General features: G+C 35.7%; 1 protein-coding gene across 4 annotated transcripts in view; it reads left to right on the forward strand.

Annotated features, from left to right (window-relative positions):
- CDK14 (cyclin dependent kinase 14) overlaps nucleotides 1-14395 on the forward strand; it is a 614270-nt gene that overhangs the window by 288020 nt on the left and 311855 nt on the right. The window lies entirely within an intron of this gene.

Consider the following 14395-nt stretch of genomic DNA (forward strand, 5'->3'; position numbering starts at 1 on the left):
GAAAGAGAATAAAATACCTAGGAATAGAGCTAACAAGGGATTTGAAGGACCTCTTCAAGGGGAACTACAAACCATTGCTCAAGGAAATAAGAAAGGGCACAAACAAATGGAAAAACATTCCATGCTCAAGGATAGGAAGAGTCAATATCATGAAAATGGCCATACTGTCCAAAGTAATTTATAGATTCAATGGTATCCCCATCAATCTACCACTGACATTCTTCACAGTGTTAGAATAAAACCATTTTAAATTTCATATGGAATCAAAGAACACCCGTTTAGCCAGGACAATCTTAAGCAAAAAGAACAAAGCTGGAGGCATCACGCTACCTGACTTCAAACTATGCTACAGGGCTACAGTGATCAAAACAGCATGGTACAGGTACCAAAACAGACATATAGATCAATGGAGCAGGACATAGATCTCAGAAATATCACCACACATCTGCAACTATCTGATCTTTGACAAACCTGACAAAAACAAGCAATGGGGAAAGGATCTCCTATTCAGTAAATGGTGCTGGAAAAACTGGCTAGCCATATGTGGAAAACTGAAACTGGAACCCTTCCTTAATGCCTTATACAAAATTTAGTGCAAGATGGCTTAACGGCTTAAATGTAAAACCCAAAATCATAAAAACCCTAGAGGAAAACCTAGGCTGTACTATCCAGTACATAGGCATGGACAAAGATGTCATGACAGAAACGCCAAAAATAATTGCAACAAAAGCCAAAACTGACAAATGGGAACTAATTAAACTTAAGAGCTTCTGCACAGCAAAAGAAAGTATCATCAGAGTCAACAGGCAACCTACAGAATAGGAGAAAATTTTTGCAAGCTACCCATCTGACAAAGGTCTAATATCCAGAATTTACAAGGAACATAAACACATTTACAGTAAAAAGACAACCCTCCCGAAAAAAGTGGGCAAAGGATATGAACACTTCTCAAAGAAGACATTTACACGACCAACAAACATGAAAAAAATCTCAACATCACTGATCATCAGAGAAATGCAAATCAAAACCACAACGAGATACCATCTCATGCCAGTCAGAATGACAATTATTAAAAAGTCGGGAAACAATAGATGGTGGCGAGGCTGTGCAATAGGAATGCTTTTACTTGTTGGTGGGATTGTCAGCCTTTGTGGAAGACAGTGTGGCGATTTCTCAGGGATCTAGAACCAGAAGTACCATTTGACTCAGCAATCCCATTATAGGGTATATACCCAAAGGATTATAAATCATTCTACTATGAAGACACATGTACACATATGTTTATTGCAGCACTATTTACAATAGCAAAGACAGGGAAGCAACCCAAATGCCCATCAGTGATAGACTGGATAAAGAAAATGTGGCACATATACACCATGGAATGCTATGCAGCCGTAAAAAGAAATGAGATCATGTCCTTTGCAGGGATATGGATGAAACTGGAAGCCATCATTCTCAGCAATCACAGGAACACAAAACCAAATACTGCATGTTCTCACTTATAAGTGGGAGTTGAACATTGAGAACACATGGACACAGAGAAGAACAAAACACACCAGGGCCTGTTGGGGTGGAGGGTGAGGAGAGGGAACTTAGAGGACGGGTCAATAGGTGCAGCAAACCACAATGGCATACATATACCTATGCAACAAACCTGCACATTCTGCACATATATCTCGTTTTTCTTTAGAAGAAATAAATAAAAAATAATTTTTGGATAAATTTAAAATTCTTAAAACAAATTCCATCAATGATTATTTTAACAGATTTTATTAAGCTTTTGAATCTGGCTTTTTAATATTTAAAAACCACATGTTTTCTCTATGAGGGCACTGAGTTGGCTTGCTTAACACCAGCTTTTTTGTCATAATGTCAAGGGTTGAGCACAAGTATGTTTTCTTTTTTGCCAAATAGGGTTTCTACTGTGTTTTCCTTGATAAAAATCATTTCAAGAAACTTCATATCTTGATTATGGTAATTACATGCCAAGCCTACTAATTTGTTTTGAAGTAAATATTGAGAGATATTTTACCCAAAATTCTCAAGTATAATTTTCTCAAGTGATTTTTGGTAATTGATTCAAATTTGAGCACCAATAACTTCTTTTAACATTTTGCTAAGAGTGACTTTCAAATGATATTTTCAGCCCTCGCATAGGGAAAGCATTACCTGAATTCATCCCAAACAGACTAGATGGGATTTTGTTCTTTCCCTTGAAATATTTTTAAAGTAACCTTCTAATGGCAAATGGCACTAAGTCAAGAGAATGAAGGGATATTTTTAGCTCTGATTCACTGACTACCTAACAAGATTTTGGCATAAAAGCGTAAAACATATTATGAGGAGCAATGGTGTTGGTCTTTGCTGCTTGAAGTTTCAGGATTTTTATTCAAAACATCAGTGATGTTTGCCAAATATATCAGGGTCCTGAGAAAGTTATTATTTTTGAAAGTTTGCAAGTGTCCAATGATTGAAAAAAAAGTTCTTTTTTCCAGAGTATCTGTAATTTCATACCCATGCACAGCAAGAGATTAAGTACATTTTCTTTATCCATGGATTGAGCAAAGCTAGTAGTAAAAAAAGAAGAAAAAGAGTGATGAGTTGATTGTTGGCTATTTTTTCATTTGACAGACAAGTCAGGAATTTGACATTTGCTCATAGGTACTGACAAATAGTTTGGAGTTTCTACCCATTTTAACTTTTGGCAGTACTCCAGATAGAAAAATTTGTGAGTTTTTCCCCTAGCTATATATGAGGGATTTTGTTTGTTTGTTTGCTGTTAAGAGAGCTACTTGGAACCAATTTTTTACAATTTTACGGATTCTTAACAGTATATTTTACTACTCTTCATTTTCTCATGTTTCAGAGCACAATACTCTGTAGGTAATTTGAATTTTTAAAAATAATGTTGGTGTGATCCTTTTCTCGTTGAGTTTGAGAAACCTAATTACTTTGCCTCTTTATATACACTATATTGAAATAATTTAAAAATACAGTTTTACTTAAATCACGGAGATCTTACCTAAAGATGCTATGCTTCAGGCTAGCCATAAGAATAGCAATATAATTTGCCTCTTTCATCATATGTAGCAAACAGATAGTTCATATACTTCATTGTTTACCATTACTTTCTCTGAAAGCATTGTTATTCTACATTGTGTATAATATACATCTAGCCAGGAAGATTTAGATATACTCTATTCGTAACATAAATTTATTTTTCAAACTATTTCTCCCATTTGAGAGATTTTTAGTTTGTCTTGTCTTGGAGTCTAGCTTACAACTTTTGCCCCATAAGTAATCAGATATTCATGACCATGTTTAAGAGTTCCTCTGTATTTTGCATTGTAAAATCTTAATAACATTGCTTCTAATACATTCCTCTGAATTTTCTCTTGGAACAAGTCTCCCTAAAATTGTTACCACTGGGTCAAATTATATGAACAAAATTATAAATGCTTCATTTTTAATTAAGAAGAGAAAGATTATATATTGTCATGTATTTCATTGCCATTATTCTTTTCCTTATAGTCATAAGTAAACTCCTAAATTGTGAATACTTTTTTATTCATCTTTATACATTTTGTAATACTTCACTTATTATAAGAGTTTGAAAATTATGATTTTTTCATTAGCATGCCAAAAAATGGGGTAACCAAATTAACAAATTGTTTAATATTTTATATTTGATTATGTGTTCCAGAATTACTGTTTTGAAAATTAAAAGTAGGCCAGGCGCAATGGCTCACACCTGTAATCCCAGCACTTTGGGAGGCCAAGGTGGGCGGATCATGAGGTCAGGAGATTGAGACCATCCTGGCCAGCATGGTGAACCCCCCTCTCTACTAAAAATACAAAAATTAGCTGGGCATGGTGGCTTGTGCCTGTAGTGCCAGCTACTCGAGAGGCTGAGGCAGGAGAATCGCTTGAACCCGGAAGGCAGAGGTTCCAGTAAGCTGAGATGGCACCACTGCACTCCAACCTGGCAACAGAGCAAGACTCCATCTAAAAATAATAATAATAATAAAAGTAACAGGTACCTGAAGCTCATTACAATACGGTTCAGTTTTCTGAGTCACGCATTTAGTACCTTTTAGAACCTAGATTATTTTTTAAAAGACTCTATTATTCACCCCTGTAGTCAGCAAAAGTTATTTCAGGATGGCTGTATTTGATTCCTCTGTCTTCCTTCCCTTTATCTGTTCTCTCTTCCGTTAGTTCTTTGTTTCTAACTCTGTTCATTCATGTTGCTTTCACCCTGTGATTTCGAGATCTTCCATATTCCTATCAGAGTGGCTCCAGAAAGTGTTTGAGAGTTAAGATATTCCTGAGTACTATTTCAGTTCCTTTTTTCTTTCTTTCTACCCTGACTTGGACTCCAGAATATTTTGTGTGGCCCACTTTGTCAGCCTGTTTTTTTTCTTCCTTTTTAAACAATTCTTGAGCATATTCAATGATCACAGCATTTCATTCTCATTCCTCTAAAAAATCAGCCTGGCTTCAAAATAGCATGAACGTCCTTTTCAAGTGACTGTTTGACTCCATGAACATTTGTTATATGATTTAGGCTTGTGAATGGTTTGCCAGAGGGCATATAAATCATACTGCTTAACCCTTTCCTCCACTATTTGAAGAGAGCACATTTTACACATTCTTCTAATGCTGGAATAGCATATGGTTCTACAGAATGGTTTACTTCTAGCAAATTTTTCTTAATTTTTTGAAACATCCCAAAACTATACACTGAGTTTATTTAGTTTACAAAAAGAAAATCATTTATACTTAATAAGTTTTATGTGGTATTTATATATATATGGATATAGAAATATGTTTGGTTTTAAGAATTAACTCCTACAAGATTGAAACCACTTCAGACACTTGAACTATTAAAGCATGAATACCTGCATTCCTTTTATCAGAGAAGAATAGTTTGCAATAGTCTTACTGCCTGGACAGAGCTATATAATTTGTCTATCCATGATGTCATTGCCAGAAGCCAAATAGTAAGTTTTTTGTTTTAATGGAAGGGATTTTTCAGGTTGCTGGTTTACATGATGGGAATGCATTTGGAAATGCTTCCTGTTCCAGTCACCAGCCCCAGGCTGCCCGTACATTTTGGATTCAGAAATGACAGCTGAAATCATTTAGACAGAATTATGGGACATGTAAGACACGTACAGGTTTATTATGACCAAAAAGAAGAAAGAGAATACATGTTATGACTAAAAAGAAATGGCTAATTTAATTAGGCATAAACTATTGCACTGTGATTGCTATGAGAGGATTTTTATGTAGTATAAAATACTGTGTACGATAACTACTTTTACCCTCTTTAGGGAATATGTATGTGGTATACTGGTAGAATTTTAAATCTTTCCTAAATGGCTTAAAACCAGGTAAAAATAAAACATAAACAGGCATTGTAATGTGTCAAATAAGTCTATACAGGAACAGTGGAATACTTGAGAATAACATATCTGAGTGTTTGATGATGAAATAGTTTGCAGACCATATTGTCTCTATCATCATACCATGTCTTATGATGCAACTTGAGGCATAATAATCTAGTTGTAATTATAATCTTGTCTTCAGAGTAGAGAGACAGCACTTTTTTACTGGTTCATGAATGGCTTGTTTTTGTTGTTAAAGATGATATGGAATTTTAATATAGCATTAAACCTGAATAACATTTGATAAAATGCTTGCAATGTTTTGTTTGTTATTCACTGTTTTGAAAACGGACTCCTCTAGGCCAGGCATGATGGCCCAAGCCTGTCATCCTAGTGCTTTGGGAGGCCAGGGTGGAAGGATCACCTAAGACCAAGAGTTCGAGACTAGCCCGGACAACATAGTGAGAGTCCGTTTCTGTAAAAATTAAGAAAATTAGTCAGATGTAGTGGCACATGCCTGTAGTCCTAGCTACTTGGGAGGCTAAAGAGGGAGGATCCCTTGAGTCTAGGACTTTGAAGTTATGGTGAGCTATGATCACACCACTACACTCCAGCCTGGGTGACAGAGAGAGACCCTGTCTCAATAGATAGGTAGGTAGATAGGTAGGTAGGTAGGTAGACAGATAGAGCCCCTTTGATATATAATGTACAGTGGGTACAGACTTCCTCTGTTAAACACCCTGAATGCCTGTGATTTCGTTTTAAAGGATAAGTTGGTTAAACTTTCCTTTCCCTTTTTTCTCATTAATGAATGATTCTCATGTATTGGAACTCACATTATAATTTTATTAGTTATAATTTGGAAGTGAAGTAGATAAGTACTGTAAAGCATAACAGGGAAAAGTGCAATTTCAAAGTCAATTTAATCTTGTGGACTGCATATAAGAGCAGTTTGAACCTAACTGCTCAGTAATTTCATGTTTTAATTCTTATAGCAATGTAGGCTGAATAAAACAGAGGTTATACCTAGAGGAAAATGGCATTGATTGCTGTAGAAGAAAGGAGGGTTCAGCTTCTGTAAGTTTTCTTCAGTTGCCTCTAGCAGTAACAGTTTCCCAATAAATTACATGACTGTAATAAGGTGCAGGTGAAGTAGATTAAAAACTATTATGAAAGGATAGTGAGTTATTTCAAAGTTCAGAACCACCCTTAAGTGTGGTTGTAGTGAAATGTGTGTGGTGTGTGCACTGTGTCTCAGACATGGGACACTGGTAATGAAGATGACATTGGCCAGTGGGAAAATAAGCATCAAGGCATCCACCCTTGCTTCCTTGGCCACACTAATAATTACTGTCATTGCCATAAAATTTGGGACCACATGGGGTACCACAGAAAAATAGAAATTATTGCCCTTTTTCTTCAGAAAATAGTGGACTTCTGATATTTCCTCTTACCATTGAAAGGGTGGCTTAGAGTTTTTATAATGGGTTCATTCACCTGGAAGAGGTTGGAGTGTCTATAATCAGATGGCATGTATACCCAAGGGAGCTTCTTAAACAAGCAGAGATCAATCAGGGAATTTTTATGCTTCCCTTTTGCACCGTATTGACTAGTTTGTAACATATCCCATTTTTAAAACAATGTGTTCACTTAAAGTTTTCATCAATTTCAAAACAAAATATAACAAATTTGGTGTTTACACATAAACTATGCCTACCTATTTAACATTAAATTCAGAATTATTTTTTGTAGTCTTTCTGTATCCTTATGCCAGTGAAACTATTTTCATTTGTGTGTATGTTATAAAATCTATACAAAGCTTGAATATATTGACTGTCCTTTCACTGTCAAATAGAAAATTAAATGAAACAGAAGTTAAGGATATAGAGTCTGTGTTTAATCTAACTTTCAAGAGAGGATTTCTGTTGGTCATCTCCATGGAATGGCTTCCTTATTTTTAGCCTAGATGCAAAAACTAGGGCTATGCTATTTTCAATGTCACATTTTGGCAGTGCTCCTGAAGAACATCGAAATTAGCTTACAAATATTGTGTACACCAGGCTTGACATTGTAGGAGAATGGAAACAAATACATGTGTTCAGGAAGGGGCTTTATTTGGATTTTTGCTTGAAGGGAAAAGTCTAGTTTGAAAGCCAATGCTAATGCAAAAGCAGAATTTCTCTGAGGAACTTTCTATCTCATGAATAGGAGGTCTGATCATTTGAAGAGTCAACAATTGGAAAACCTCACTTCATGAATAATGTTAGGTAAAGAGAAACATAAGCACTTACTGAAAGAGGAAGCCTATTAACAGTTCTCCTATACTTGTTTCTGCCCTGGAAATGGCAAAATTTCATGTCCAAGAGGTGGTCTGAGTTTCAGATAGCTTTCTTACCAGTGGCTTTAGATGGAGGGATATTGCTTCTTTCCCTTGACCCAAGGTCAGATTCAAAACAGGGTAAGGGATGGAGAGAGGAAAATATGCAAAGGTGAGTGTTGTTTTCTAGCTTGTTTTTTACCTTTTCTTTGATCTGGCCTCTCTGTCCTCCTCTTTTAAAAGGGGCAGTTCTCCACTCACGCCTGTTTTAAAATGGACATTATATACGTAATTAATCTTTCTAGTTTTCTTCTGTGTCTTTCATTTTGAGCCTCATGGCTGTTGTTGCACCACATGACTAAGATGAGTCAGTATAGTTCTCAGATCTGCATATGACTGCAGTTAACTGAGACTCAACTGTGAAAATGCCTATTAGTAAAATGTCTTTTCAATTTTCTGTGGTCTTTCCATGTTCTGTCTTTTAACAAGGGGTTATTTTTCTCTTGCTTTTTATATTGATCCAGCCACAGAGAAATCAAATCAATATGGGAAACCCACAGTCTAAACCTCATAAACTCTTTTACAGAAAACATTTCACCTCAAGAGGGTTATGATTTCAGATACCCTCCTCGGATTCCTTCCCCTGGAGATACTCCTGCACCTATGTAAATAACCAGATAAATGCTACCTGATGGGTTAGTCAACAGCAGGAAAAGAGGATACTGGGTTTTTTGTTTTTATTTTTGTTTTTGTTTTGTTCTCGCTCTGTCACCCAGGCTGGGGTGCAGTGGCACGATCTTGGCTCACTGCAACCTCTGACTGCTGGGTTCAAGCAGTTCTCCTGCCTCTGCCTCCCAATTAGCTGGGACTACAGGCGTGCACCACCACACCCGGCTGATTTTTTATATTTTTAATAGAGATAGGTTTTCACTGTGTTAGCCAGGATGATCTCTATCTCCTGACCTCGTGATCTGCCTGCCTCGGCCTCCCAGAGGATACTGATTTTGAAAGGAATATATGCTAGTGTGGGGCTTGAGTCTTCAGAGCCTCTTTCTGCGCTCACTCTGTCTGCTGCTTGGTTTCTAAGTCAAGCCACACTTGATAGCTTCCTTTAAAACCACCGACTTCATGGAAGGCATTCAGGTGTAACCTTGTCAGACACAAGTATATCTGGTAGCATTAAGGCATAGCAATGGTGATGGAGTAAAGGGGAAAGTGTGGGAAGAAGAGGTGAGGCATAATTTAGTGAAGGAAAGAGGAGATGTTAGCCCATAGCCATGGTAGGGATTGGAGGGAAGCAATCTTTTGGATATGCGTAGTTACCAGGGGTCTAGTCTATAGGTGGTCCTCTTGGTATTAGGATAAGAAATAGCCAGAGATCAAGCCAGATGCATCTGAGCTTATTAGTATGTCATCACAGGAGAGTGAGCTGTTGGTCATATGCCATAGTGATGTTCTGTTCAGAACTTTATAACCAGCAGTGCCTTTTGGCATCATTCTTAAGTGTAGTTCTGTATTTCTGGATAAGTGCAAATCATAAGGGTCACATAATCCAATGAGTAAAACTAAGGAAAGAATGTATAAAGAAAAAAGATATGTATAATATAATGAAATTTGTAATTCAGGCACATGTAATGCAGTCCTAGGCACAATACTATGTATTTAAAAAGAGAGAGGGAAAACAAACTGTTTTTAGTTTAGGTAAAATAGAAATTTGTGAAACATCAATGTTAAGGTGGAAAATGTGACATTGTAGTACCTCTTGTTCCCTCTTCCATATGAGATTCTCCATATTCTTGCCTCTAATCACTCAGAGCACTCTGAAGTTAGTGATATAATGCTGGATGTAGTTTCAGTGATTATATATAGAGAGTGGTGGCATGGGAATGGGAATGTCTGGGCATGCACATAGGAAGAACACATATGTAAAGATTAAATGCAACTCCTAGAAGTTCCTAGGGAACTTTTGACTATATGTATCATTCCTGTTTTTATTTCAATCTCTTCCAACAATTCTTCCCTAATTCCCTACCTCTAAACACGCTACAGAAAATCACCGTCATCATCATCATCATGAATCATCATCACCTATAGTATCCACAATGTGCTGGACAATGTTCTGAAACTGCTATGGATGTTTACCAGTTAATTTTCACAATAACCATGTGAGGTTAATATGAAAATTGAACTAGGATTGTCTTCATTACAGAGGTTATGTGACCTGCTCAAAGTTATGTAATGCTGATTTACAGAGATTATGTCACCTGCTCAAAGTTATGTAATACTGATTTACAGAGGTTATGTCACCTGCTCAAGGTTACACAGCTGAGGAAGCCATGTGTGTATAGATGATGTGTGCGCATACACATAGTACGTTTTCGTGCCCTACATCTAAAAAATAACCTAAAATTTTAAAGGTTTAGGAAAGTCTTTTAAGTTTTCCCAGATCTCATTTCTAGAGATGATCTTTTTCCTGCAATTCTTGATGCTAATGTCATTGGATTTGGAGGATCAGGAATTTTTTTCTCCAGTCCTAATGTATTTCCTTCCTCATAGTTTTGTTGTTTCATTTTAAACAAGAAGCTTGAATACTTTATTCTTAGAAAAGTTTAAGATAATTCACAAGCATATAATATTCACAGAATGCTAGCTGTGTGAGTGTAGAGTTCATCTTATTTATGCAAAGTTGGCATTCTATAAATACATGCCATATATATAACACCATAAATGTTCTTTTGTACCCACCACTATTCCACTTCTTTAATTTGTTAACTTTAGAGGATCACATTAACATATGTTTTTATATTGAACTATTTCTCATTTCTAAGATTAGCCTTGTTTGGTCTTGATGTGTTAGTTTTTTAATGCCATATTGAATTTTAGCACCTACTGTTATTATTTTTAGAATATATACATCTGTGACTGTGATCATAGAGAGATTGTTTTAGTTCCCTCCATCCCTTTCTTGTGCTTGCCTAGTTTGACAATGTGTTTTAAAGAAGAAGTAGGAAGCATTCTTATCTTTTTCTGTACTCTGGAATAACTTGTATATGTTATTTGAAGATTCGGAGCATTTTTTATTAAAACAGTCTGAATTCAGTACCTTTTTAGTTATAGCCCTTCCTATGTCTTACAAATTTTGTAACTTATGTTTTATTTAGAAAAACATTTTTTTCCTAGATATCAAATGTACTGGTTTAAAGATGTACAGTGCTGTATTTTAAAATCTTCACAATTTTAGTTGTCACTTTTCCCATTCTTTCCTCTTCTTTCCTCTCCTTTCCTCTCCTCTCCTCTCCTCTCCTCTCCTCACCTCTCCTCCCCTCCCCTCTCCTCTCCTCTCCTCTCCTCTCCTCTCCTCTCCTCTCCTCTCCTCTCCTCTCCTCTCCTCTCCTCCCCTCCCCTCCCCTCCCCTCCCCTCTCCTCTCCTCACCTCTCCTCTCCTCTCCTCTCCTCTCCTCCCTTCCCCTCCCTTCCCCTCCCTTCCCCTCCCTTCCCCTCCCCTCTCCTCCCCTCCCCTCCCCTCCTTTCCTGACAGAGTCTTGCTCTGTCTCCCAGGCTGGAGTGTAGTGGCTTGATCTTGACTCACTGCAACCTCCGTCTCTCGTGTTCAAGCAATTCTCCTGCCTCAGCTTCCCGAGTAGCTGGGATTGCATGCACTTGCCATTGCACTTGGCTAATTTTTTTTTTTTTTTTTTTGAGATTTTTAGTAGAGATGGGGTTTTGCCATATTGCTCAGGCTGGTCTTGAACTTCTGACCTCAAGTGATCCGCCTGCCTCAGCCTCCCAAAGTGCTGGGATTACAGACATAAGCCACCATGCCCACCCTTGTTTTTCTCATTCTTAATGTTGATTATGTCTTGGCAAACTCCTCACTTAATAAAAAAAATCAGACTTGCCAAAGGTTGGTTTGTTTTATTAGGCTTTTCATAGAAGTGGGTTTTTGTTTAATTGTTCAAACTTATTGTTTTCTAGTTTTTCTATTTAATGTCTGCTATTAACTGCATTGATCCCTTCTCTCTCTTTTTTTTCTTGTCTCTTTTGTTTTCTCTAGCTTTACTTTATTGGTTGTTTTATTCATTTTTAGTCATTTTTATGTTAAAATAAATACATTTAAAGGTCTAAATTTTCTTGTTGATGCTCTGACCAAATTTAATTGCTTTGAAATGTAGTATATTTATTATCATTCATTTTTTACTGATTTAAGTATTTTTAGACTTTTTTAACTTTTTGTACATTTTTAGGAAAATAGATTTTTCTATTCATTCCTCCCTTTCTCATTCTCTCTCTTCAACTGATTTTCTTTCTTCCTTATTTTCCTCCTGCTGCCATTGAACTTAAAACACCATTGATTGGAAGAAACCTTATTGATATACTACTAAAAAAGAAAAAATGCACTGAATTAAACTATGATTGAATGCCTTCTTATTCCGAATTTTTATTTTATGCTTATTGAAAGAGCTAGAGAAGTTTTAATTCTGGCATTAAAAAAAAACCTTACCTGAAAATTTCAATAAATGGTTTCTAGGTAACAATTAGGGCTCACCCTTCACTGTTTCTTCTTCAGATGGTCCTTAAGTTGTTTGTTGGTGACTCATGCCATTGAGTAAACTCTGCAAATTGAGCAAAATAAAAAGTTTGCTGAGACACAGGCAATAACAACTATATTGCATTCATTGCCTGGGTAATCATAAATGAATGCTGTTGTTCCAATATCAAAAATGAAAAGAATTGTATGTCTTAGAGTTGATGAAATATAATATACTCTGATGTTAATTTTATTCAGTTTTGAGGAAAGGATGTAATATGATTTCAGCTTTCTGGAAATTTTTGAGATTTTCTCTTTGTCTCATACATTGTCAGTTTTTGTGAGTAGGCCATTTGTGTTTAAAAAGCATGTGTAGCATGAGTTTATTGGGCATGCTATTTAATTGTGTTATATCCTTTATAGCTTTACTTTTTTGGCCAATTCCATTTGTTAATTTTTGAAAGGAGTAAGCAAAACCCTTCAAGATTTTGTGAAATTTTCCGTTTCTTCTTTGATGTTTGTCAATTTTTGCTTTTAATAATGTATCCTATTGTTAGGTGTGCAAATGTTGAATACATGTTTCTTGAATTATGTTAAACGTGATTTTACATTGATATATCTGATTCCTTTTTATTGATATTTGCAATATAAATAACAAAATATCAAAAGTATAAATAAACATTTATTTTCAGACTTTCTGGATTTTTGGTATTTATTGTTCTTAGTTTGTGTTTGGGAAGCAGTATGAATTTGATTTTGTTTTAAAAACTGAGATTTTACATTTTTAATAAGCGTTTCAACACATCATGGACATGTGATTATTGATATGGTTGGATGTACTTTTCTTTTACCATTTTGTTTCTTGTGTGTGAAGCATTGAACAGATTAGATACACTTCTTGCCCTCCTGGATCTTATAGTATAATGAGCATTATTTTAAAAGAATACCTTATTTTTATCTATTATATTATAAGTAAAAAGTACTTATCATATACTGGCTTCAAAAACAAATGTTCTCTCGTTCTTTATTTGTCGTTCTCTGAGGATGGTGTTATCCTTATTTAAGGATGGGGAAGTTAATAATATGAAGTTACAAAATGGCAGTTTGGGGTCCAGAGTCATTCCTCATTTCACTAAATGCATGAAATAAAACTTTTATATAGTTACTCAGGAAAAACTCCATTGAACCTATTTTAATCATATTTTAGGTTTGTTTTTAGTGTGCTATCCTATACATAAAAGTATTCCCATCTGTACTTAGTTCCTTTTTCTCTTTGTCTGACATTTTGCCTGGACCAGAGAGAGAATAATTTCCAAATTAATCATAGTTTCTACCCTCATGGAGTTTCACTTTGATTTAGAAGCTAAATCAAAGCTTGGGTTGCCCAAGATAAAGGCAATTTTGTCTCAGAACATATCTAAGAGCATTTTCTCTGACCCATTTTCTTTGCCTTTGCCCTTCAGTTGGCTAACTTCTTTCATTCTCTACTCATGTCTTACTTAGAAGTAACTTCTTCCAGAGACCTTTCTGAAATCTCTAGACCTCATTGGGTTTCCCCTGCTGTGCCCTTGAACATCATCCAGCACTATTCTTAAAATACTACACAGCAGACTTTACTGTAATCAGTGGCATGTCTGGTTTTTTTCCATTTGCATCTGTTTCATTTACTCCTGTGTTCTTAGTGACTAGTGTTGTGCCTGGAACATATGGGCTCAAAAATTACATGATGAATGATGAAGGCTAATTTCTGCATTGTATCCTCAGCAATTATAACCTAGCATGCAATGAAAGCTTAATAACAGAACCTGAACTGTTGTTATAAATGACTACAGCAAGGTTCTTGAATGTATTATAAAACTTGTACTTCCTCAGTAATTCAGGCCTGATATTGGGGCACAAATGCTCATGTTCATTGGCTTTTACTGAATGATTAAATGTTTCAGTTTTATAAATCTTATAGTACACTCCAATAAAATAATAAAAATGTGAATAGTAACTACATGCTTTTAAAAAATTATATATAGTTTATGATATAAGCAGAAAAAGCATTAAGAAGAAGATATTTACTTGTGGACAAATCGAGCTTGCATATTTAAAAGAATAACAGCATGAGATGTTGAATATTCGTTTAAACATATCTGGATATATTTATCTTAATTT

The sequence above is a fragment of the Homo sapiens genome, chromosome 7, assembly GCF_000001405.40.
Source record: "Homo sapiens chromosome 7, GRCh38.p14 Primary Assembly".
NCBI lineage: Eukaryota > Metazoa > Chordata > Mammalia > Primates > Hominidae > Homo > Homo sapiens.